This window comes from Homo sapiens, chromosome 20 (assembly GCF_000001405.40).
Source record: "Homo sapiens chromosome 20, GRCh38.p14 Primary Assembly".
NCBI lineage: Eukaryota > Metazoa > Chordata > Mammalia > Primates > Hominidae > Homo > Homo sapiens.
This window is the reverse complement of record NC_000020.11, coordinates 10,066,336-10,091,569: the sequence shown is the minus strand read 5'-3', so window position 1 is coordinate 10,091,569 and position 25,234 is coordinate 10,066,336. Positions and strand designations below refer to the sequence as shown.

General features: G+C 39.7%; 1 long non-coding RNA gene across 1 annotated transcript in view, besides 1 other annotated feature; it reads left to right on the top strand.

Moving 5' to 3' along the window:
• The window catches only part of SNAP25-AS1 (SNAP25 antisense RNA 1), a 195,695-nt gene that overhangs the window by 127,937 nt on the left and 42,524 nt on the right, over positions 1 to 25,234 (top strand). The window lies entirely within an intron of this gene.
• Positions 16,005 to 17,204: an enhancer, noted in NCBI's record as "P300/CBP strongly-dependent group 1 enhancer chr20:10055014-10056213 (GRCh37/hg19 assembly coordinates)". NCBI's record gives its function as "activates an origin of replication core promoter dependent on BRD2, BRD4, P300/CBP, MED14 and CDK7 cofactors, with strong dependence on P300/CBP, by STARR-seq in HCT116 cells {active_cell/tissue: HCT116}" and the evidence as "EXISTENCE:reporter gene assay evidence [ECO:0000049][PMID:35650434]".

Genomic DNA, 25,234 nt, shown 5'->3' with positions numbered 1-25,234 from the left:
AGGCTGAAGGCCAGGTGAGTATCATGGGCTTTTCTTTAGAGCTCCCAGGGGTCAGATGAAGGTGATACCACCATAATGCAGACTGTTTCTATTTAGGAAAGCTTCCCATGGGTTTGTACAAATCAGTTCATAAAAATGACCAACACAGCCAGTTTCAAACCATGCCCTGAGTTCACGTGCTTACCAAAGTCATAAAAAACAGCAATAGTTTCTGGTCCCACCAAGGCTTTGATGCCCCTGGTGCCTGGAATCACTCAAAGGCTTTGCAGGGGAAGGCACTTTGGCCCACTGGACCTGGAAATCTTCGCTCTTCTGCATAAAGAACCCATTTAGACCCCTTGTGTGTTTCTGTGCGAGAAAGACCATCAGAAATTCTCTGAAACAAACCTAAAGATGCATTTGGGGTGAGGGAGAGCCCATTTGGGGGTACAAGCAGGCAAGCAGGATACTTTTGAAAATCAGTTGCTTATATAGGTGTAGGTCTGTGTCTGGAGTCTGTACTCTGTCCATTGATAATTATGTCTACCCTTATATCAATCCATGCTGTCTTGATTCCTGTTAAGTCTTGACATCTGGTATAATCTTTCAACTGAAAAATAAAAAGCTCATTAAAACACAAACCAGGGGAAGGCTATGAGACCAGATAAATCTTGATCAGAAACTAGACATAATTAAATTTATTTCTTTGCAGTTTACGAGAAGCAAAATAAGTATATATACATATTTCTAAATTCAGGGACTGGTTGAAATTTTAGCAGGAGCTGAGAGGCTGAGTTCTGAGGGATTTCAGCCTAAGAATAGCCACTAGAGGGCCTAGGAGATCCAGAAACACTGCATGGTGTTTGTAGGAGCCAGGCAGGCCCAGAGAGCCGCCAAGGCCTGAGTATGGTGTTCAAGGTGAACCTGATTCCTGAAAACCTCACCAGGTGCTCACCTTCACATGAGAAAGAAGTAACCAGCTCTGTTAGGGAAACTAGATAATTCATTAAGCAATTTATTCACCAATAACCTATTTCTGCATGCAAGACACCGTTCTATTCTTGGGGTTAAGGGAAGCTGAGAATGCAGGACTATTATAAGCAGGCCTCTCACTTAGGGCTCAGTGATGGCATCAAGGACCAGCTTGGGAGGTGTGGGCTTTGATGCCCATTATTTCCATGTGCTGCACCAATAAACTTAAAATCAAGATAAAAACAGCGTGTGTGCTAAGCAAATACAGCTTCAAGTCAAATCCCTTTAGGTCACTAGACTGCCACACTTTAATCCCTCTACAGAAACTCTAGAGTTTTTGTGATTGGAGCTTTGTGATGTGTCTTGAAGCAGGGATGAAGCTGATTTCTCTATTATTGTTTAAAAAGTCCTTAAAGTATGCAGTACTTTACAGACAGAATACAAAAAAAGTTTAGAAAGTCACCTTTCCTAGAGAGACCTAGGGGCTATCTAGTTACGGCATGTGCTAGAAAATGACCTACAAGGTATGTTCTAGCCTGAGGAATTGCTGGCATGTGAATCATGAGGACAGATGCATGGGCAGAATGTGCCATTTCCTCTGTCAGCATCTGCTAGGCAAGAGATGCCTTCCCCTAGGCCCCCTGGCTCTGCAGTTTTCCCGCCTATGGGAGGCCTTTTACCAACATGACCTATGCCACCCACCCTCACTCCCACACCACCACATCTGGCAGCAAATTTTGTAAGCCAGGAAGTTTGGGGGGTACAAAAGAGGGGCTCCTTGAAGTGGGAGAAGGGTCTCCCAGTCCATGGATAGCTCTAAAAGAGCTGAGTCCTAGATGACTTGCAGATATGGTCTCCTCCATGATCAGAGCTTCTAAAAGAGGAAAGAAATTGGTTCTTTCATCATGTTTCCTTGGCCATGGGAGAAAGTCAGATAAAACAAGCAAGATAAAACAGATGTTATCAAGCAATGCAGTGATGCTTCCCTTTCTTATAGAAATTTCCTTTTCAGAGGGTAAAAACCCAGTTAACTTCTCATATACCAATTTCCCCAGGATATAAGGAGGGTCTTCCCTGTAAGATTTGCTGTCTGGATTACTGAGGCCAGCCCCTCTGACTTCTCTCTTTCCACCTGTTTATATTAGGAAAGCTTGCCATGGGTTTGCACAAATCGATTCATAAAAATGACCAACGCAGCCAGTTGCAAACCATGCCCTGGGTTCACTTACTTACCAAAGTCACAAAAAACAGTAATAGTTCCTGGCCCTGGAAAGAGAGAGGTCATAGGGACTGGCCTCAGTAATCCACACCCATCCTCCTATAGATACAACTTTTGTCTGATCACTCTTTGCTCCCTAGCTTCTATCATGAGTTCAAGTGTCCTTACCCGACTCCCAAGGACAGGCCATCCTTTCCACTCAGTACTCATCCTTTACTCTTGTAACTGCTCAACAGGTTCATTTTGCCAGCTGTCCAGATAGAATCGATTTATCAAGACAGAGAAATTGCCATAAAGAGTTTAATTCTCGCAGAGCCGGCAGAATGCGAGGCCAGAGTTTTATTACTACTCAAGTCAATCTTACCAAAAATTTGGAGACTGGGGATTTTAAGGATAAATTGATGGGTAGGGGGTGCAGGAAGTGGAAAGTGCTGATTGGTTGGGTTGGAGATGAAGTCATGAAAAGTTGAAGCTGTCCTCTTGTCCTCATTCCCAGATGGTTAGGCATTCTAAGTCACAGCATGAGATGGGAGGTCAGTACAAGATATAGGCCATAAAGACCTTGCTGATAAAACAGATTACAGTAAAGAAGATGGCCAAAACCCACCAAAACCAAGAGAGCAATGAGAGTGACCTCTGGTCATCCTCATTGCTCATTATAGGTCAATTATAATGCTTTAGCATGCTAAGAGACACTCCCACCAGCACCATGACAATGTACAGGTGCATGGCAACGTCAGGAATTTACCCTATATGGTCTAAAAGCCTGAGGAACCGTTAGTTACAGGAATTGCCCAGTCCTTTCCTGGAAAGCTCATTATTAATCCACCCTTTGTTTAGCATATAATCAAGAAAAAACCATAAAAATGGGCAACCAGCAGCCCTCAGGGCTGCTCTGCCTATGGAGTAGCCATTCTTTATTCCCTTACTTTTTAAGTAAACTTGCTTTCACTTTATGGATTGGCCTAGAAGTTTTTCTTGTGTGAGATGCAAGAACCCTCTCTTGGGGTCAGGATCGGGATGCCTTTCCAGTAACAGTTTCAGTTGCAACCTCTCATCTTACTCTCTTATATAAAGATTATTGGCATTGACCCTTCTGGACTTTTGCTCATGCAGTTCCCCTTGCTAGGCAAGCCTGTCCTTCTGGCTGACAAAAAAGTGCACCTAAGCTACTTTTTCTCTGGAGTCTTTCTGGACTACTTTAGCCCTTATTGATTGCTCCTCCTTTGAACTTCTTATAGACATCCGGGGCCTTAATCTAATACCGGTGGGGATTTTTCTTTTATTTTAGGAATCCTGATTGTGGCTTGGCAATCAGATGGCTAGATCCTTGAGGACAGAAGTTTGTGTCCCAAGACTCCAGCATGGTGACCCCTTGCACACATTAGAAGCCCAATTAACATTTGCCTGGTTAACTTCCATGCATCCTTGGGATCTTAAGTTGACCCTCACTTCCTGAGGGCAGCCCAACCCATTAGATCCAAATCTCCTACTGCAGATTCTAATACAACCAGGCATCTCTCCTGCATAGGACTACTCAAAGATGGACAGTTTTATTCATTTGCTTTTATTACTCAGTTCCCTCCATGAGGGCTGGAAACTATATTTGGTTTTATTTAGTGCCTGGCATACACTGGGTAATCTATCAATATTTATTAAATTAGTGAATACCTGTTCGTTGGCTGAACTGAAATGTGACACCGACTTCTTGGGAAATGAGAGCAAAGCTGAAGATGTTAATCTCCTGGGAGCCAGTGCCCTTGAGCACAGTCCTAAACAGAATCTAACAACAAAGGCTCAGATGGGCCAAGTTATTGCAGGACCATTGGTGGCAATGAGTGGCTATATATATATATATATATATATATATATATACATATATATATACACATTTATTTATATTTAGAGATTTCATAAAAAATCTTTATAGTTATAAGTAATACATGTCCTTGTGGAAAGCAGGTAAACTTTAGAAAATTATAAGGAAGCAGAGGAAAGTAACTACAATCCCACCACTCAAAAACTTTTAAAAAGTTAACATTTTCTTCCAATATTGGTTCAGTACATGTTTTTTACAGTGTGGAAATCCTACCAGATATACAATTTTAGATCTTGCCTTTTAAAAAAACCACTTAACTTTAAATTATAAATGCCTTTTCTTTTTATTGAAACTATGCATCATAATTTTAAACAGATTCAGAATATTCTGCTATATGGATGTACTCTATTATTCCCTCAATACGGGACAGGAAGGTTGATAAATATAAGTTTTGGCCCTTATGATTTTGAAGGCATTCTATATCTAAAGACAATTAAGATAAATGGTAGAGGTATTATATTATAGACTTCCCCAGCAGTTTCAACAGAATGCCTACTTTTGTTCATTGAGACCTGGCTACACAGTTGGCAGTCCTCCCCAAGTGAGTGCTCCTCATTCCTTGCTTTCTCATCCCCCAGCCCCTACTCTGCTACCCTTTACTTTTCCCCATATAGCAGACACGATTGATGCCCTATTTACATATCATCAATACTCAGTATTCCTGCACATGCCAATGGTTTCTTACTGCAAGCACCTTGGATTCTCTGCTTAAGGACTTTCTTTGGCTGCAGGAGCATGATCAGTTATGCGTGGGGCAGTCTAGGAGTGCCCAATGGGCCCAAGTGCAAATGGGAGTTAGTAGATAAATATCCCAGCTCCTCATCACACATGGGGAACAATTTGGAGCTGTGTTCTACATAGAGCTTTCCGTGGGGACTGATTTCCAATTACCCACTCATTAATGCACCTGTGTTAGCTTCCTTTCCTTCACTGTCTCATTTCCACATTTTCCTACAATGGTTCCTGGGGTCACCTCACAAATAAACCATCTGGACTCAAACCCTTGTTTCAGTGTCTGCTTCTGGGGGACCAGTGTAAGACTCCCCTCCTTCTTAATTATGAGTTCTAGCACTCTCCAGCTTAGACTTTCCCTCTTTTTTTTTTTTTTTTTTTTTTTTTACTAAAGTGGAAGCTAAAAAGTCTAAATGATTCAACATATATTTTAAGGAACAGTGTAAATATGCAAAACGGTGCCAGATTGCTAACTCTCTTTTCATCAGAACTACTGATAGGAATGCTCCCAAGAGGGAATAAATTATACAGAGACTCTGGTCTCTTTGGAGGTGACTTTGAACTGTTCTTTGTTTCTCCTCTCTGTTGTCCTCTCTCATTTCTCTCCTAATCTATTTCCTCTGCAATAGAAGAGAAATAGCTGACTGTTTTTGCTACCAACTCCTAATTAAGTTTCCAGATACACCCATAAGCAGAGGTGTGATGATAGGCTTGTTATAAAGCAAGTTTATATTCATTTTATGTAATTAATTGTTATTACTGGTTACTAAAGACTTGATGTATGCTGCGTATTTACTAGGTTCTGCAGGAGATTCTGCAGAGATTAAGATGTTATCTTTGTAGGGAAGATAAGACACATTACACAGCTGGACTCATGCAGGGACAAGTGTGATGTGTCAATTGAGGGGCACACATAGATCAAAACCAATAAACAACTCTAGATATTCAGAGAAAGCTGTGGTTCACTCTGGCTGGATTTTGAGAAAGCTTCATGGAAGAGGCTAGGAATGGATGGGTTGGGTTTTAATAGGTAAACAGGACAAGACACAGAGAAGAGAGGTGTTCCAAGTCTTCCCCATCTCAATTCCTAGGGGACTTCGATTTGCTGTTAAAGGTTGAGACTGCTGCTTCCCTGCTCTCCCCTCCTTCTGACCTCAGTAGGCCATAAAACTTTCAGTTTCTTTCTATTTTAGTTTCTCTAATACCCAATGGGGGAAACTATGCCATCTTTCTGATGCAAACAGACTAAGCCAGTTCCAAGCCAAACTGTAAATTAGGCATATCAGTTAGAAATTCATTTAATTTTAGATATCACATTAGATATCACCCATCTAATAGGGGCTTAAACAAAATGGACACTAATTTTAGCTCTAAGAAAAAGAAGACTGAGGCATTTGTTACTGGGGTTTAGCTAACTCAGCAACATCATCAAAGACTCATGCCTTTTCCATCTTCCTACTCTGCCCTCCTTAAGCTGTTGATTTTTCAACCTCACACTGCTCCCCTCCTGGCTGCACCTTGGCTGCATTAGTTTCAGGAATCATGACTGCCTTCAAGGCAGGAAGAAGGGAGAAGAGCAGTAACAAAAGTCTGCTTTTTTCATGACGGCAAAAGTATTTCCAGGAGTCCCCTGCAAAAAAAAAAAAAAAAAAAAAAACATGTATCACTGGCTACAAATGCATCATATGGCCACCCTAGCTGTAAAAAATTCTGGAACTTGAGTATTTCACTCCTTAGATTCTATAATTATACAAAGCAAGGAAAAAGGGCCAGGGAATGGCTACAATGAAGGCTACAAATTCTGCCTTGTCTTACAGGAAACTTTACTTGCTATGGTTAAGACACTCAGAGCGTCTCTCTGTCTTAGCTGAATAACCAGTGTATTAGTCAACTGTTACCTCAGCCATACTGCGCAACAAACCACCCCAAATCTCAGTGGCGTTTAATGATAAGCATTGATGATCACACTCACAGAGTTGCTGATTGGCCAGGGTGCCTCTGTTCCATATGTCTCACATTCTTCTAGAATAGAAGAATGGTGTGGCAGAAACCAAGAGGAGTGAGCAGAAAGGGATAGCACTTCTTTGGGTGTAGGGTCAGAACAGTACATCCTCACTCTTTCCCATACGTCACTGGCCAAAGCAAGCCACATGGGACAAAGCACACTTTCTAGAGGAAGGAACTGGAGAGTTCTTGGGCAAGGACATGGGTATGGGGAAGAGTGAGGAATGGGAACATTCCCACACCCGGCTGAGTAATCTAGTACATTACCTACATGACAGTGGTGGTGGTGCTAGAATGTTAATGTGTTTCCCTCCAGGTAGCAAATGTCCCTGTAACAGGCAAGGGCCTACTTGAGGCAATGCCAAATCAGAGAACTGACCCTAGGGCTGTAATTTTAGACTTATCTTTTTGGAAAGGTAGAGCATATGGTCCCTTGAATTACCTTTTATAGGTGGCTCTTTCCTTTTATTTATTGAATGTATCCAACAATAAAGGGACTCTAAGACTCGGCTTCTCACCATATATCAATTTGGCATTTTCAGGAGCAGGCAATTCCTATTCTCAGTCTTCTTATGTGTCTGAGAGTTTTTATGTCCTAAGTAGGGACTGAATTCTGCCTTCCCCAGCAGTGGTGTCTGGAGATGCGACCTTCATATCACAAGGAGTATTTTCCCAGCCAAACTACATTTGCTATAATTACTATCCTATATAACTTAATTAAACCAAATATTGTGACAATAAGAATAGAATGGGGATGGAAACAATTCCTCATGATATGTGTAATGCTCAGATTGTTCCTTGACGCCATTACATTAGGCAGAGCTTCCTTGACAGGAGGACTGCATTGGTGTTAATTTAATTACATTCTAATGCAAGCTCACAGAAATTACAATACAGATGAGCTGCATTAAAGGACATCTGTGTGTCTTAAAAAGTGTCTATGACCTTTCCTTTGAAAATGAGACTCATTTATTTAGTAAACATTTCCAGTAGTTTCTCATCTCTCTGGAGGCCACCTTGATGGGAAGAAGCCTAGATGAATTCATTTGAGAAGTCAATGAATCTTCTTTTCTGAGAAAAATGTATAATATCACACTTTTGTGTATTTATTTAGTGGGGTTTTTTTAAACCCTTGTCATCTGCCAGACTTTATTGCAAGCACTTCACAAATAAGAACAAATAAAATAGGAATGATAATAGGACCTACCTCATACATTTATAAAAGATTAAATATAATCTTTATTATATTATCTTATTATATAAGATTAAATGTAATCTTTATTATAAATGTATGAGGTAGGCCCTATTATCATTTCCATTTTATAGATGGAAAATCTGAATCATGGTGAGATTAAACAACTTTTTCAAGGTTAGGTAGCTTTAAAAAGGTATGAATTCCCATGTGACTGACTAATGGGGAAAGGAGATTAGGTGCTTGGCAGATGATACAATTTTCTTCATGAAACACCTAAAGTCTGAATAAATTATTTTGGGGGAACTGACTAGCCTCCTCATTGTCAAAAGTCTTGATTTAACACACAAGAAATTTTTCCTGCCCAGCATCCATTCCCTCTTCTCCTAGCTATAGCAGCCTGATTTTCCCTTGGAAGAACAAATCACTCTCCCTTTTCTAATTCATGGGGGTTGAGTGGTCAGATCCAACCCTCCATCTCCAAAGCTGGGAAATTCACCAGGCCTGGGAATTAGTTGAGGAATGAGCATAAGATCTATGCCCAGACCAGGGAGTATCAGCCCAGGACATTGGCTGGGGCTTCTCAGAAAGAAGTACTCTTTTTGGTAGAGTTGTTAAGAATAGGACATAGGTTGGGGTAGCTGGTGGCCATCTTTTTACTATGGTGAAACCCTGATTGGATTTAAAGCAACACAGGGACATTGATGCTGAGAGATTAAGAAAAATAAATTTGTGATGACATTATTTGATCCTCTGGATTTAGCCATGCCTGAGCTTCTCACTACAGAACATGTAGATGTTTTATTTATTTGAATTGATAGAGTACTTTCATTGTCAAAGCCAGTTTGAATCAAGTTTCTGTCATTTGTAAACAAGAGCCCAGTCTGAAAGTGTGCTAGAACAATTTCCAGGCCCATCCTACTGCCCTGGGAACCTCTGTTCTTTCTGCCCAACAGATCTTGGAGAGTTAGGCTGATTTCCTTTCTCTGAAGCTTCTGCCAACATCCTCCATTCTTTCATAGAAACTTCTCCCCTTTCCTTCTTACCTTCTTCACTTCCTTATTGACACCACTGACAAGAACACAAGGGCCTCTCATTTAAAGGCTTCAGATTAAACATGGAGAAAAAAATGGGTCACATAGAAAATTAGCACAAAAAATTTATGAAAGTGAAACAAATCTCACACATTCTTATAATCATTGTGTATGAGCTAGTGTTGTGATGTTCAATATGGTAGCCATAAGCTACAGGTGTCAACTAGGCATATAAAAGGTGGCTACTGCGATTTTTTTTTTTTTTTTTTTTGAGACAGAGTCTCACTCTGTCACTAGGCTGGAGTGCAGTGGCACGATCTTGGCTCACTGCAACCTCTACCTCCTGGGTTCAAGCGATTCCCCTGTCTCAGCCTCCTGACTAGATGGGACGACTGTTGCGCTCCACCACGCCAGACTAATTTTTTTGTGTGTGTATTTTACCAGCGACAAGGTTTCACCATGTTGGCCAGGATGGTCTCAACCTCCTGACCTCGTGATCCACCCATCTCGACCTCCCAAAGTGCTGGGATCACAGGTGTGAGCCACCGTGCCCGGCTGCCTACTGTGATTAAAGAACTGAATTTCTAATTTTATTTAATTGTAATTAAAAATTAAAATAAAAAACTGATTCAGTTATTGAAAACTTTTTAATGTATGCTTAGAACAACTTGAGTATGTGAATCTTACTTGCCAATGATAAATTTTATGAAATGTAACTACAGATTAATTATTTCTGATAAATTTTACTATCTAAATTGAGATATGGTTTAAGTACATTACACATCGGATTTCAAGAATAGATTTGAAAAAGCAAAATATTTAGTTAATTTTTATATTGTTTACACATTGAAATGATGTTTTTGCTATATCAAGTTAAATAAGATAGATTCTTACAAATAATTTCATATGTTTCCTTCAACTTCTTTGAACATGGTTCATGCTATATTTCCATTGGATATTGCTGGTCTGTAGTTTCTGTCTAACCCATGATTTGAAGTACTCTGGAGGGTGTTTACCACACCGAAGATCATGTGTGGTCTTTTATTCTGAAAGCATTGAGAGTTTGAGCTTTTATTCTGGAAACACATTGAAGAAATGTGTCAGTAAATTTATATTAGTCTTCCTTATAAAAGTCTAAACAATCTAACTAAATAGTTTTTATTATTTTTCATGTCATTAACTGATGTTTGAAAATTTTTTTTTCTTGTCTTGACCTATGTGATGCTTTTCTAGTTCAAGTGTACAAAACCTGAGTTTCTGAAAAATAAAGAAATGAAAAAATGTCATTGTATTCAGTGCAAAATATAAGACGTTATGGATTGTTTCCAGAAATCTTTCTATATTGCATTTTTGTTGCTATTTTGTCCATGTTTTTTACTCACACATGTCTGATATTTTTATTGAAATAATCTGGCAACTCTGGAAAGAACTCCATTTTGCTTCATTTCCCCCACTTTCCAGGAGCCATGACTCTTCCTTCCAGTAGGCTCCTTCTTCCCATTCAGAAACCTAGAGATACAGTTTCAGCAGAATGGTAAATGAGGGTGAATGTCTACCCATGTACCCAAGCCTCAGTGGACCTGCCAACTGGAGGGGTCCAGTGCCAGTGGGCCCCATGCTGTGTGAGATAACATATTCAGTTTCCAAGGATTAGAATGTGGATGTCTTTGGGGAGAAGGCCATTACACTGCCTACCACAATAATTAACAGCAGGAAGACATCCTACATCTGTAAACTGAAGGCTCTTGTTAACCCCTCCTCCATCTAGCATGCTCTTTTCCTGAGAAGACAATTTTTATTCAAGTTCAAATTCACAGCAGTGAGGATTTCTCTTCTGATTATGCATAGCCAAGCAGAAAATTTGCTGTGCATTTTTACAATAGAAGACAATGATAAATTTACATATTCATTAGATGGTTTTCATCAGGATAGCCAGGCAAATCTCAGATTAAACTCATGACAGAGCATTCTTCTAGATTTCCTTAATGAAGGGACAGGCATCATTTACTCTGATTGTTGCTTTGCTATAACAAATCATTTTGGCTGTGATGACAGATTAACACTGTTCTATGAGATAGAGTTTATTGCACTGGTTACAGTGCTTCCACTGAAAATAGGTCAATTTCTTGTGAACCAGGGCTGAACTTGGTAGGTATCTAGAAACTGGATCTTGGAACTAATTATTAGAAAGTGCTAATGTTTGCTCACCTATGATGAATAAACCTTCCTTGCCAAGTAGATTAATTTCTCTTTAAGGAAAGAGCTAATGAAACTTAGAAACTCCCAAAGATATCATGAGTAGACATTTGATTAAGCAAGCAAGTTAAAGCAAGAACTTGGCACATAACCATGAAAATAGTTCTTGTCAAGTCTCTTCACATTTCATAGAGCAATTGCATTCCTCCAGCAACCAAGGGGATGGCACACTAAATGTTCAAGGACTGAAATTATGCAATCAACCATCAGAAATGATCAAGCTGCCCTTCCAGTTAGTCAGAAGTAACTGGTTTTTCCCATCATCCTCCAAGCATTTGTATGGTTTTGTCTGTTTAATTCCTGAAGGACTATATTAACAGGTTGAATTTGTTGCAAAATTAAGATGCAAGAAAGGGACATTTTTCTGATTTCATAGCTCAAGTCAAATGCTGCTCACCCAGGTTAGCAGAAAGTCTAATAGTTGTTGTTATTGTTATTATTATTATCATTATTGGTTTCTTCCTCTTTTTTGAATTAATGAAAACCAAGACAAATGGGGATGTGGCTTCTGGGCTGCCGAGTTATATATTGCCTATCACAAATTGGACCAGTAAATTGTTGGCAGTTATGTTGTCAGCACCTGCCCTCTCTAGGAGGTCTGGTTGGGTGCAATGAACTTAACAGATGCCCCCAAGGATGCAGTGCTTTGTGTTTTAAACTGATTCCCATACCGTCTCTTCTTGAAAGGTGCTTCCATAGGAGTGGAGTCCTCTATCCTGCCAGTCTTGAGAAATCCAACCCTGTCAATGGCCTAGCTTCTCTACCTGTGAGGGGGAAGGTGAAAATTACCTTTTCAACCTTTCCATTGGCATTTATTGAACATTGTCTTAGTTTAGGTTTCCTTAAAAGCAGACTCGGAGACAAGAATTCAAGTGTAAGTGGTTTACTTGGGAGGTGATCCCAGGAAACACTAACAGGGAAGTGTAGAAGTGAGACAGGAAGGAAAGGCAGACACAGGAGGCCATTATCAAGTAAGTCACCACTGTGGGCAGCTGGGGCTCAAGCCCACTGGGGAACTCTGGGAAACAGTGTAGAACACTCAGAGTTAACCTACTGAGAAGTGAAGCCAGCTGGACTTCCCGGGTCAAGTGGGAACTTGGAGAACTTTTCTGTCTTACAAGAGGATTGTAAAATGCACCAATCAGCACTCTGTAGCTAGGATTGTAAAATGCACCAGTCAGTGCTCTGTAGCTAGCAAAGGGATTATAAAATGCACCAATCTGCACTCTGTAAAAATGCACCAATCAGCAGGATTCTAAAAGTAGCCAATCATGGGGAGGATTGAAGAAAGGGCACTCTGATAGGACAGAAATGGAACACAGGAGGGGCAAATAAGGGAATAAAAGCTGGCCACCCCACCCAGCAGTGGCAACCTGCTTGGGTCCCCTTCCACGCTGTGTGGAAGCTTTGTCCTTTCGCTCTTCACAATAAACCTTGCTACTGCTCACTCTTTGGGTCCGTGTCATCTTTAAGAGCTGTAACACTCACTGCGAAGGTCCGCAGCTCCATTCTTGAAGTCAGCGAGACCATGAACCCACTGGAAGGAACCAAGTCTTGACACCCATGGAGGGGTGAGGGAGCTGGGTTACTTCCACCAGCTCCTGAATTGAGTGCTGCCAGCAATTAATATTCCAGACTATCCAGTCTACTATGCCCAAGGCCAGAAAGGCTTCCTGCTGCTTGGGAAAAAGCCCTCTGGCAAAGAGATACAGATCCTGGCAGTTGGAAGTGGAATAAGCTCATGCTGTAGTGGTGAGGCCCAAGGGGCAGTAGTACAAAAAGTTTCTTATCCAGCCTATGATTAAGGCACTGAAATAGGTGCTGTAGAAAAGCTTTATCTACTTCATTCAGTACATTAGGGAGAAGCAGCTATGTTTTGCTGGCTACGTGCTCAGAATCGTGCCAAATGATATAAGTGAAACAGAAGAAATAGGAGGCATGGTCCCTCCCTGATTTGGAGGAACTTATTCTCTAAGTAAGGAAGACAACCCTGGTGCTACCATGCACCAGTGGGTAAATGGACAAAATAAAATGTTGATTTAGGCATTAGGGGACAATTGGAATTCTGGGAAAGGCTTCATGGGGAAAGTAGGAAATGAAGGATATTGTTTTCAGAAAAGAGCCAACGCCTATATAATTTGAGGGACAATGAGAGGAAGCCTGGAGGCAAATTTAGCCCAGTATGTTGGTAGACAGTGAGCAAGCCCATGAGAATGGAGTTGATGGAACATGTTCAAGAGGACTGGGAATCTAACAAGCAGTGTTGGCTTGTTATTGCCCTACAGATGTCAGTCATTACCCTGAGTGCATAATTCCTCCTGAAAAAGTCCACTCATGCCCACAGTACCGTCAAAGAAGTGGTTGTGTCATGGCAGATGACTCTGTTTCCACTGTTGAATCTGATTTGGATGGGGCAGGGACTTGACCTTGGATGGGCTCATCAGAGTCTGTTTTTTTATTTTATTTTGTTTTTGTCTGGCATTTGGACCTACAGAATTAAGGGACTGGATAAGCTGGTTCTCTATAGAGCCAGGGCAAGAGCTTCTTTGCCTTAGGAAGCCACAGTCATGTGCAAACACATTACATTAGAGTAAAACATCATAGGCAATATGGGACTACAGCAAAAAAAGACGAGTACAAGTGCTAAGAGAAACAGAGGAGAGACACCATGTGGCCCTAGCAAGTAAAGGTGACTTGCGAATCCCCCCAAGCCCGTCCAGTACTTCTAGCAATGTAGAGTCCTCTGTAAACTTTCCACTCAAGCTAATTTGAGTGGAAATCGAGGATCCTTCTCTAAGATGACATGGCAGTCATTAATTTTTCTATTGCCTACTAATTTTTCTATTGCTCTGTTTTTTTGTCCTATGGGTTGATGTCATAGCTGTTGATCTTCATAAGCAAACCTTGAGAATTGTGTGCAAGTGGTTTACTAAGGAAGGCTCCACAGAGACAGTAAAGGAATGGGGGAAGTAGGACAGGGAATGGAAGGAAGTGAAGCTGGCGGTGAATTCAGACCACGTCTGTGGAGCCTGCAGGGGGCGCTGCAGTGGAATCTTGCCTCAGGTGCGCTTTTCTCTTTACCTGGGCAAGGGAACTAGGCATTTACACCCTTGCTTATTGTCCTGGGGATGTAGAGGTAAATTAGACAAGATCCTTACCCTCAATTCATTTACAGCCTAGTTGGGAGAGACAAGCTTGCAAGCACAGGAAACTAGAAACAAGGCTTCTGGGTGGAGGAGGATAAGAAACACTCTACCCAAAGGATGTTCTCTGCAAAGGGTGAATGATTTAACATCTATGTGCCTCTCCCCCACCAAACATGTTAGAATCACTCAGCAACACAAGCATGGCTCATTTCCTCCCAGGTACTATTTTCTTATCTCTTCCAGAAAACAGAGCTTCCTGAAAAACAACTATTGAAGGAATATGGTAAGAACCTGGCAGGAGCCCAGTTTATACTCCGTAGCTTTGACCTAAGAAAGAGAAGAGTAAATATTAAACCCAAGGTCGGTAAGACTTTTGTGTATTTTTTCTTTTTCCTTTAAAGGTATGTTTGCTCTTTTAAGAACTGGGAACTTATTGTTTAAAGTATTTTTGGTGCAAGGGTCAGGCTGCCAGGAAAGCAGTGGGCATCTGCTTGTGGTTCTTGGGGTTTTACCCAGTGTCTGCAACCTCTATTTAGTGCAGGAAGAGAGTGTGGTCCAGCATCTACCTGCCTATCAGGAGTCTTAAGGGCCCAAACTGGTAGAACACTGAGAGCTTTTTCTTTATTATGGGAAATGATATGCCATATGATATCATTTCATTATATAACCTGCTAGTAAGTTACTATATTAAGAGCTCACAATTAGTAAACTTTGGTATTTCTACATTTGAAATAGCACAATACTGGAGCTTATTGAGAACAGTAATTCAGGATTCTGTGAAAGTCAGCGTCCACTAAATATTTCACAACACTGCAAAACTTGCACCGCTGCTGCACACAGGCAAACAGTATGAATTCCCACAGGGCTTGGCCAAGACACTGTGTCATCAGTGCATCCATAGTGTTATCTACAGTTTTTAATTGCCGCTATTCTTGCTGCTTAATCATCAGTCATTGTTGGTCCCAACTCTTCTTACTCTACTTTCTTTTATATTTGATTTTCCTTTGTAGAAAAATGTCTTGTGAGTTTGGGACTCCCCAGAAGTAGAGATGTGGATGTGAGTGCAAGTGATTTGCTTCGGGAGTGATCCCAGGAAACAATGGACAGGAGTGAGGAAATAAGACAGGAAAGGAGGAAAATTACTAAAGGAGTGTGCTAATGTGCAGAATTGCTGCTGTGGGTAACTGGGGCTCAGGCCCTTTGGGACTCTAGGGAGACTTTGCAGGACATTCCTCAATGTTGTCCTACCCAAGAGGTGAGAAGTTGGGATATTTATCCAGCATTTCCTGTCTGATGTCTGTTGAGGGCTGCTTCCTGAGGCATCAACTCACAGATTCTTCCAGTCTGCCCTGCACGCTGAAACACGCTCCTGCAGCCAGAGAAAATCCTCAGGGAGAGCACCAGTACTTGCTGAGAGGCTGTCAGTGAGAAAAAGAATCAGAAGAGACTGTTAATGGAATTGGGTGTACATGGGACCTCTGACAGCATCTGCTTTGGATGCATACTTCCATAAACAGCAGTTAGGGCCCACAGTCTTCTAATCACTTGACTTTGAAACACACGTGTTGCATTTCAATGTGTTATATAAGATCAAATTGCTGATCAAATTGCTAAGTATTCAGTGAAAACTATACGTAAGGATGTGATCTTAAAATTGAAACCTGGATAATGGGAAGAACCCAGCCATGTGAACAGCGAGGGGAGAGTGGTCTTAAAGTCTTTCCTGTTGCCCATTTATTTTTTATTTTATTTATTTTTATTCTTTTAGATACAGTCTCGCTGTTGTACCCATGCTGGAGTGCAGAGGCATGATCATAGCTCATACAGCCTCGAACTCCTGCATTTTGCCTATTTAAATTCTGAGCCTAGAACAAGGAAATTTAAATCCTGGATTGCTTGAAGACTGATTCTTGGCAATCACATTCTCATTCAGAATAAAATTGTTTTTAGCCATCTCCTTCAAAATAAACTTTCAAATTTTCCATTTGATATCATTATAATGTTCACGTTCTCTTGTCTAGTCAGTTTCTCTATGCCCACTATTCGTGAAATTTCCCCATCTCATTTCCCCAAACACTGCTTTGACAGTTTCTTTTTTCCACGCTAGGTTTCTCTAAGCCCCCTCGGATTTGCATAGAAACTATAGTTCCTTAGATAAAAATAAAACCTTATTTAAGACCCAGAAAATCTCAATCCCCTATGCCAACAGCAAAGAGGGCAATTTGGATACCTGAGCCTGGACTTGCTCAAATCTTTCTAGTTACAAACTTGCCCCCACTGCTTCCAGCATCTCAGGCAAAAGGTAATTCCATATCTCTTAGACACCAGTGTTGAAATTTTTTAGACTCTTAATGTTCTCTGAGTAATTACATGGCATGAAAAAAAATCAGATGAGTTTTTGAAGAGATGACTTCTCCCCAAGGCCCTGAGTCACAGATTTTTTTTCTTTCTATAGAGTCACTGTCAAAATTGTGAGTCATCCATTTCTTCTTGCCAGTGCAGCACACTCCCAGGGGACACGTGGCTTCACTCCTGAACAAGTTCAGTAAGCAGTGCTGGAGAGAATACTGAAAACGTTAAAGAATTATGAATACAGCTCAGATCTCACTTTCCTGTTTTTTAGATTTTGGGAATTCATTCAGGTGGAAACAGCATTTCTTGCCATCACATGATGGGGGTGTCCCCCTCTGCCATGTTTCCCATCAGTTCTATCTTCCTCCCTTCCAGTTTCTCTGGACATGTCTGACTTTTGAAAGAGTAATTTTCTCCAACATGTATTTTGAATTATCTTCTCTGTACATAATTATTTTCTATCTCCTAGAAATTCTTCATAATTTTTGTTCCTCTAATGGAAGATTTTAATTTTTTATGTACTATTATGCATTATTTTAATCAGTTTTTTTTGCTAAGGCTTTACAGTGAGAGTAGGTACCTGTACTCAGTTTGTAAGTTGATAAAAATTTTTAATAGCTCACTATACATGATTTATTTTTGCATATCCAGCAACACAATGTTGGCTTTCAATAAAGGTTGAATGAATAAAATGTTTAAAGCATTGCTTTTTAAGAAGTTCTAACCTAGTGAAGTCATAAGCAAACTTGAAAAATGTGTGTTAAAATAATTCTAGGTATCAGGTTTTCTAATCTTGTATGCAAAATCTTATATCAATTTAGTTGAATTTGCTTATACAGTGTTAGCAAGAAAAACAATTAATACATAAGCATATCTTCGCATAGCTGCAACAGAAAAAAAAGAAAACGCCCTCAAAACTATAAACCAGTATTTTAATGTATGTATGATTCCTGCTTGATGCATTTCATTACTGATATTCCAGGCTTTTTTCTTTTAATACTTCCAATGACCACAAACTCATGATACCCTCATAAGGCGATTTAAAGCAGTTTCGGAAAGTTCTAATTGTTGGGGGAGAAATTATTTAGGAGCCAAATTATGTATTGTGGACTGTTTTAACTGCTGTGCTAAAAAATTTAGATAGTTTCTGTGTCAGTCACCTTGATTAAGAAAACTGCAAATAAATCACATTAGCAACCGAAATGGAAAAAGCAAACCATCAATATTGAGCCTCAATGTCCCCTGCTAGCTGTAAATCCCTAATTCCCCATGCAATACATTTGTTTACCTAGCAAATGTGTACCCATTTGAGTACCTGTCTCATTAGAGGGCTATAAATGACTACGATTTAGTAAGTATATTGTTCAGAATAGATTTATTATTTCAACTTCTAGCCTTGATAAATCATCATGGCCCAAAGGAACACTTTCCTAGTTCTTTTGCAAAAGTCACGTTGCCCAACGAGAAGTTCTTGAGATGATCACTCTGAGCCATCTGCTCTCCGTATGTGATGTAGCATAGGCCTCTGTTCCTGGATTTCAATTATGGTGTCAGAATTTTAGCCAGGTTTCTTACATTGATCCCTTTAGGATAGAATCCAAGATATATTATTTGCCTTGTTTTTAACCTCATATCATAAGACTGAAAGGAGATTATCAAGGCAGGTCTTGAGATATTGTCTTATTAATAATTTGGCAAGCATGATCAACATCTGAGGTTAATCCCCAAGCTGCATGTAGATAGGAATAGTCTAAGCCTCCTTGACTTTCTTAATATTCATTATATTACTGCTGCCTTCATTTAGGCTCTCTCCATTTCTAATCTGGATGATGACCATTGTTTACTGTTCTCTTTAGCTTCAGCCTTGCCACATGTCTTATCTGTCCCCTCCTGCAGCCAGAGTGCTCTTTCTTAAATGCATACCTGAATATGTCACTCTGCTGCTTAACTGCTTTGTTGTATTTTGCATAAAATTCAGGCTTCTTATTATGGAATACAAATCCTGCAGGCCAACTTCTCCCACCTCATCTCCTGTCACTATCTTTCTATCCTCCAACCATATGGAATTGCCTTTGATCCTAGATTGCATATGCTCACTTGTGACTCTATTCCTCTGTCTTTGGCTGCATCCATTGAGAACTAGCCTTACTGCAAAGCCCCCAGGAAGCTTTTGGTTTTCCTGAAACCTTCTCCTCCATCAGACGAGGTTTGTGTTCCATCGCAGTGCCATGGCATCCTGAGCATATCTCAAATCCTAGCATTAATCACTCTGTATTATAATTGTTTCCTAGTCTACATCCTCCTCAGACCTGGAGCTCTTGGAGAGGACAGGCTAGGTTTAATTTCATTGATAATACCAGGGTGTAACACGTTGTTGTTGCTTCATATTGCAAATGCATGACGTGTGTGGGTGCTCGAACTCAAAAGTGAATAAATGTTTGGCACTCTGGAAAATACAATTGCACTGCTAAGGACCATTCTGCAGAATACACCTTTTGAGTGAATGCTAAAGTAGCTAAGTAATGGCTGCTTTTAGGGGAAGCACTAAAATATGAATAATGACTATCTCTGATGGTTTTTTCCCTGGGTTATGTTTTTGACTTAATAATTTTCATATTTCCTTATAAGGAACTATATAGATTGCATTTATAATTATACACAAATATTTAAAAGCAGCATATATTATTTTGTGTTCTATTGCACCTCTATGGCAAATGTTTGCAGAATAAAAGGACTAGGGTAAAGTCCTCAAGTGGTCAACAGTGATATTTTTCTAGGGTTGGAATTATGAGTGATTATTTCTTCCTTGTAATTTGCAGGGCTTTCTCTGATATGATTTTGTTTACAAGATTTTCTTTTACAAGAAAAAATTCATTTAAGTATTAAAAAATTAAATAGATGGCATGATGATTAATAATTTGAATAATCAAATAAACCACCCCTGTCAAGGGACTACTGAATTTAATCAAACCTTACTTATTGTCAAATCATTTAAGCTGTCATTTTGAGAGCACATGGAAAACAACATAAATATTGATGTGTTTTTTTAAATGGAGAAAACTATGACTCTGGCAATTATAAAACTGGAAATTTTGTTTTAGAGCTTTGGGAGCCAGGTGTGCCATTGGGCTGGAAGCAGACCCCGAGTCCAGTCATGAATTATGGAGTTGGTTTTTAATGGAATATAACTGTCTATTTTTGCTGCCAAATCTATTAGCCTTTAGTACATAATACACCGGAGATTAAGGCCCCATATATTCAGCAGAAGATTTACTGTGAAGCAGTAAAAATAGATTTAGTCATAATTTATACAGGTGCATGTTTATAGGTAGAGTATGTTTGTAAAAATGGCAAGGAGAGAAAGAAATTGATATTATTTTAGAATGTTTTCTTTTGATTTTTCTCCTTTAAACCCAAACATTTTGCATCTGTAATGAATTAAAAGTAAATACTTCTTTAATATTTTCAAACAGTTAAGATTTATCTCAATTACATTTGGCAAGAGCTATCAGTTGCATATCATTATTTATTGAAAAGGAGATTAGATATGTTTTCAGCCATTATGAGTTTACTTTTGTGAGCACAGTAATGTTCAGTTCTTGGAGGTTCTTGCAGATCACCTATTATCATAAACCAAAAATATGATTTACAAACGATGGCCAATAATTTGCATGTATAATTAAATGTCAGGGTAAATATTTCTAACGGTAACTTGAATCATTCAATTCTGGGCTTGAAAATTAAATCCTGAAAGCTACGCAAATGCTTGGGCAGAGAAATCCGGTAATGCTTACTTGAAATATAGAAACCTATATTTAGTACTTCATAGTGTGCCAGATAGTATAACAATTGCCTAGTGTCTATTATCCCATTAAGTTCTGATATGGTATGGATCTGTGTCCCCACCCAAATCTCATGTCAAATCATGCATGTCCCCACCCAAATCACCATGTCCCCAGTGTTGGAGAAGGGGCCTGGTGGGAGGTGAGTGGATCATGGGGACAAAGTTATCGTGAATGGTTTAGCATCGTCCGCTGCTTGATACTGTATAGTGAGTGAATTCTCATGAGAGCTGGTTGTTTAAAAGTGTGTGGCACCTCCCCACCCTCTCTCTTCTTCCTACTCTGGCCGTGAAGTGCCTCGCTGCCCCTTTGCCTTCTGCCATAATTGGAAGCTTTCTGAAGTCTCCCCTGAGCCAGAAGTTGCTATGCTTCCTGTATAGCCTGCAGAACTGTGAGCCAATTAAACCTCTTTTGTTTATAAATTACCCAGTCTCAGGTATTTTTAATAGCAGTGTAAGAATGGATGAATACAAGTTCTAATCACAAACCTATGAAGTAAGTCTGTTAGTGAGGCTGGTCAATAACCTAAAGTCCCAGTTGCTTATAACCCACCATGTCCATTGATGGGCAACTCTGCATCCTACTCCATATTTCCTAGGCTGACAGAGCGGCCGGCAGCAGAGGGGAGGATTGCTCAGAGAGCCTCACACTTGCAATCAAAAGCTCCAGCCTGGAAATGGCAAACCTCACTTCCATGCATAGCTCATTCGTCAGAACTAGTCACCTGACACCACCTAACTACAAGGGAATGGGGCAGAGAGTATAATCCTACCGTGTGTCCAAAGTGGAGAGAGCAGGAAATATTTGGTGAATAGTGCTAATCACTACTGTAGTGTGTCCCTATTTTATACATGAGAAAACAGAATCTGAGAGGTCAAACAACTTGCCAAGTCACAAAGCTAGTAAGCAGAAGAGCTAAGATGCTGTTAAAGAACAAAGCATGGATTTAACAAGTTTTTACAGCAAATTCTAAGCCTACTAATTCTGTGTCACTTAGAAAGACACAGGAAAATTAGAGATTGAACAGAGACTAGCAGATGTCTCTTGATCTCACATTTGTGAAATCTGAAATCCTTTGGCTATACTTCCAGCTGCCTACTTGAAAAGCTAGAGACTAAAAATATTGACTTTCTATTATCAGAGCTGAGTCCTTCATAAAATTGTTATGGCCCTAGGAGTTCTTGAGGATAATTTATGGATGATACAGAGCAATGTGACTTGTAATCACTTGGGAGATGCTATCAGCAATGTGAAAACCAATTGAACTTGGAAAGAAATCCACACTCCTTACTCTTCCCTGCGAGTTCCTCGATATCTGGCCCCGTCCTCTTCGTCAACCTTGTCCTAAGCTGGCTTCCCCTTGCTACCACCATCTTTGTGCAAGCTTTTCTGGTTTTCTTCCTGCTCTTCACCAAGCCAGGCTCTTTCTGGCCTCAGAGTTGTGGCAGGTATTTCCCCCTCATGTGTAGATTGCCTCCCCACGCCACTATAGAGTATCCCTTTTGAAAATTATGTGGAAATTTTTATATAATGTTTTATATTTAATTTTTGTGGATATATGGTAGTTGCATCATGGGGTACATGAGATGTTTAGATACAGGTATGCAATGTGTAATCACATCATGGAAAATGGGCTATCCATCACCCCAAGCGTCTGTCTTTTCTGGTATAAACAATCCAATTACAGTTATTTTTAAATTTACAATTAAATTACTATTGACTACAGTCACCCTATTGTGCTATCAAATACCAGGCCTTATTCATTCATTCTAATTATTGTTCGTACTCATTAACCTTTTCTACCCTGTCTCCCATTTCCCCACTACCCTTCCCAGCCTCTGGTAACCATCCTTCTACTCTCTATCTCCTTGGGTTCCATTGTTTTGATTTTTAGATCGTACAAATAGGTGACAACATGCAATGTTTGTCTTTTCTTGCCTGGCTTATTTCTCTTAATATAATGACCTCCAGTTCCACCCATGTTGCTGCAAATGACAGGGTCTCATTCTTTTTTATGGCTGAATAGTACTCCATTGTGTATAAGTACCACATTTTCTTTATCCATTCATCTCTTGATGGACACTTAGGTTGCTTCTGAATCTTGGCTATTGTGAACAGAGCTGCAACAAACATGGAAGTGCAGATATCCCTTCAATATATTGATTTCCTTTACTTTGGGTATATACCCAGCAGTGGGCTTGCTAGATCATATGGTAGCTATTTTTTTAGTTTCTTGAGGAACCTCCAAACTGTTCTCCATAGTTCATATTGAAATTTAACTGTCAATATAGTTCTATCAGGCAGTGGGGCTTTTAAGAGGTTAGTCATGAGGGCTCTGTCCTTATGAATGGGTTAATGCTGTTATCTTGGCAGTAGGCTAGTTATCTTGGGAGTTTGGCCTACTTTTTCTCTCTGTCTCACTTGCTTGTTTGCCCTTCCACCATGTTATGGTGCAACAAGAAGGCTCTCACCAGATGCAGCCCCTTGACCTTGGACTTCCCAGTCTCCAGAACTATGAACCAAATAAATGTCTATTGTTTATAAATTACACAGTTTGTGGTATTCTGTTATAGTAGCAGAAAACAGGCTAAAACACCTTTCCTCCCCTTAATCTGACAACTTCTACTCATTTTTTAGGTCTCATAGTAGACATTTCTTCAGAGAGGCACTCCCTGACTCTCAAACTAAAACTCCACCCAGTACTTTTCCATGGTAACATGCATCCCAATTTATAATAATATAGCTGTGTTTATTTAATTGCTATCTCCCTATTATGGTGGCAGGAACCAAGGGAGCAGTGAGTGCTGCGTGTAGCATTATACACCAGTGCCAAAGAGGCCAACTGGAAAATAGTAGATCCTTAGTATTTATTGAATGAAATGAATAAATGAATGACTTTTAGTCTTTAAGTAAGGATTTCAAGTGAGTTCCTAAAGTCTGAATTTGTGTTTCTCTTCTTTTAAGCTTTATCAATAATTCCATGTTAGTAATAATGAAGTGGAGACGGAAAAACCAGAAACAACCAGAAAAATTTAGATAAAAATGAAAACATTTATCCTCTCTTTTCTGGTTTTTGTTTTGTTTTCCAAAAGCCCAAAAAGAGTTAACATCTTTGGACTATTGATTTTTAGAATGAAGTATAAAGGATTTAAGAACATTTTGCTGCATTGGAGATGATTTTTACAAGTAGAAAGGATAATATAGAAAACCGCCAAGCGAATTACTGCACTTGAATCGATACATATGTTTTCTTTTTTCCTGTCAGACATTTCTTACCAAACGGTTTAAATAATATCATCTGTTCTTGTTTTTTGTGCATTCCTACTCACACATATCAAATGAAGAAAAGCCAAAGGCTTTATGAAGCACTGGAAAGAATTTTGTTGCCAACCAGTTCATGCTACTGCAATTCTGTGGGTCCATGACACAGAGGAAAATATAAGGCTATGTACTGATTTACATCACAGAACACATGGTACATCCAGGAATGAGCACCACAAGGGTAATTTTAATGCTGCAGAACACATTTATCTGCTGATATATGGTCTAGGAATACGCTGCTTTTATTCTGCCAATTCTGACTCCCACTATTCCCTCTAAAAATGGAAAAAACTCTTGCAAGGTCATTTGGAAAGAATGTTTAAAATTACTTTTTCTTTGCTTATTTGCAATCCCTTCACTTCTTAAGAATGATTGGCAGTGTTTATGTATCCTGAAGCCTGGGGCAGAGTTAAGATTCAAACAGGAGACTAATGGAGTAAAGGAGTCCCTCTCCTAGTGGGCAGAAATTATAAGCAGCCATTTAGGTTACTTATACACCTGGGATAGCTACAAACAGCTATGTTCCCAGTGGCAAAAGGAAAGGCTAATACAGTCCAGCAGAAAAAAAATAGAAACCATTCTAAAGAACAGAGGCAGGAACTCAGGAGTACAATAGTCAGGGATGAATTAGTATAAGATAAACTCTCCACATAAAGAGGCACTGAGAAAGTACATACGTGATTTTCAGTTGTGCACAAATTTTAAAATAATTCAAGTTTATATTATGTTATAATCCCATCAATGTGGCCAGAAAATATGTGGTATATTTTGGAATGTTCAGTCATGACAGTTATGGTGTCAAATAATTAAATATTATTCAAATAATTGCACAGGTGAAGATATAGTTGCAACTGCGGTAAGTGCCGTGAAGGAAGGTGCATTGTGATCTATGAATGTATATAGGAAGAGAATTTAACTTCGTGAGGAAGGTGAGGAAGTCTGCCCTAACAAAGAGATGATTTCTCTGAGATGAAAAAGGAATGGAAAATTAAGCAGATGAGGTATTGGGGAAGAGGAGGGAGAATGAATTCCTGGACAAGGAGGATACAGTTTATGCAAAAACTTAATGGAAGGTGGGAGCATGTACATAAAATAAAATAACAGACTGTCTACAGCAGAGTGTTTAAAGGCCTGATCTGGGGGAGGAGTAAGTATGCTCAGACCGCTCAGGTGATCATAGGCCATGTTCACATACATTTTCTTATATTATTAAGAAAATCAGTAATTTTGAAAGTATTTTAATTAGATGGTAGGTAGAGTACTGAAGTAATCACTTTTCATCCTTGAAAAGACTTGTCTGGCATCA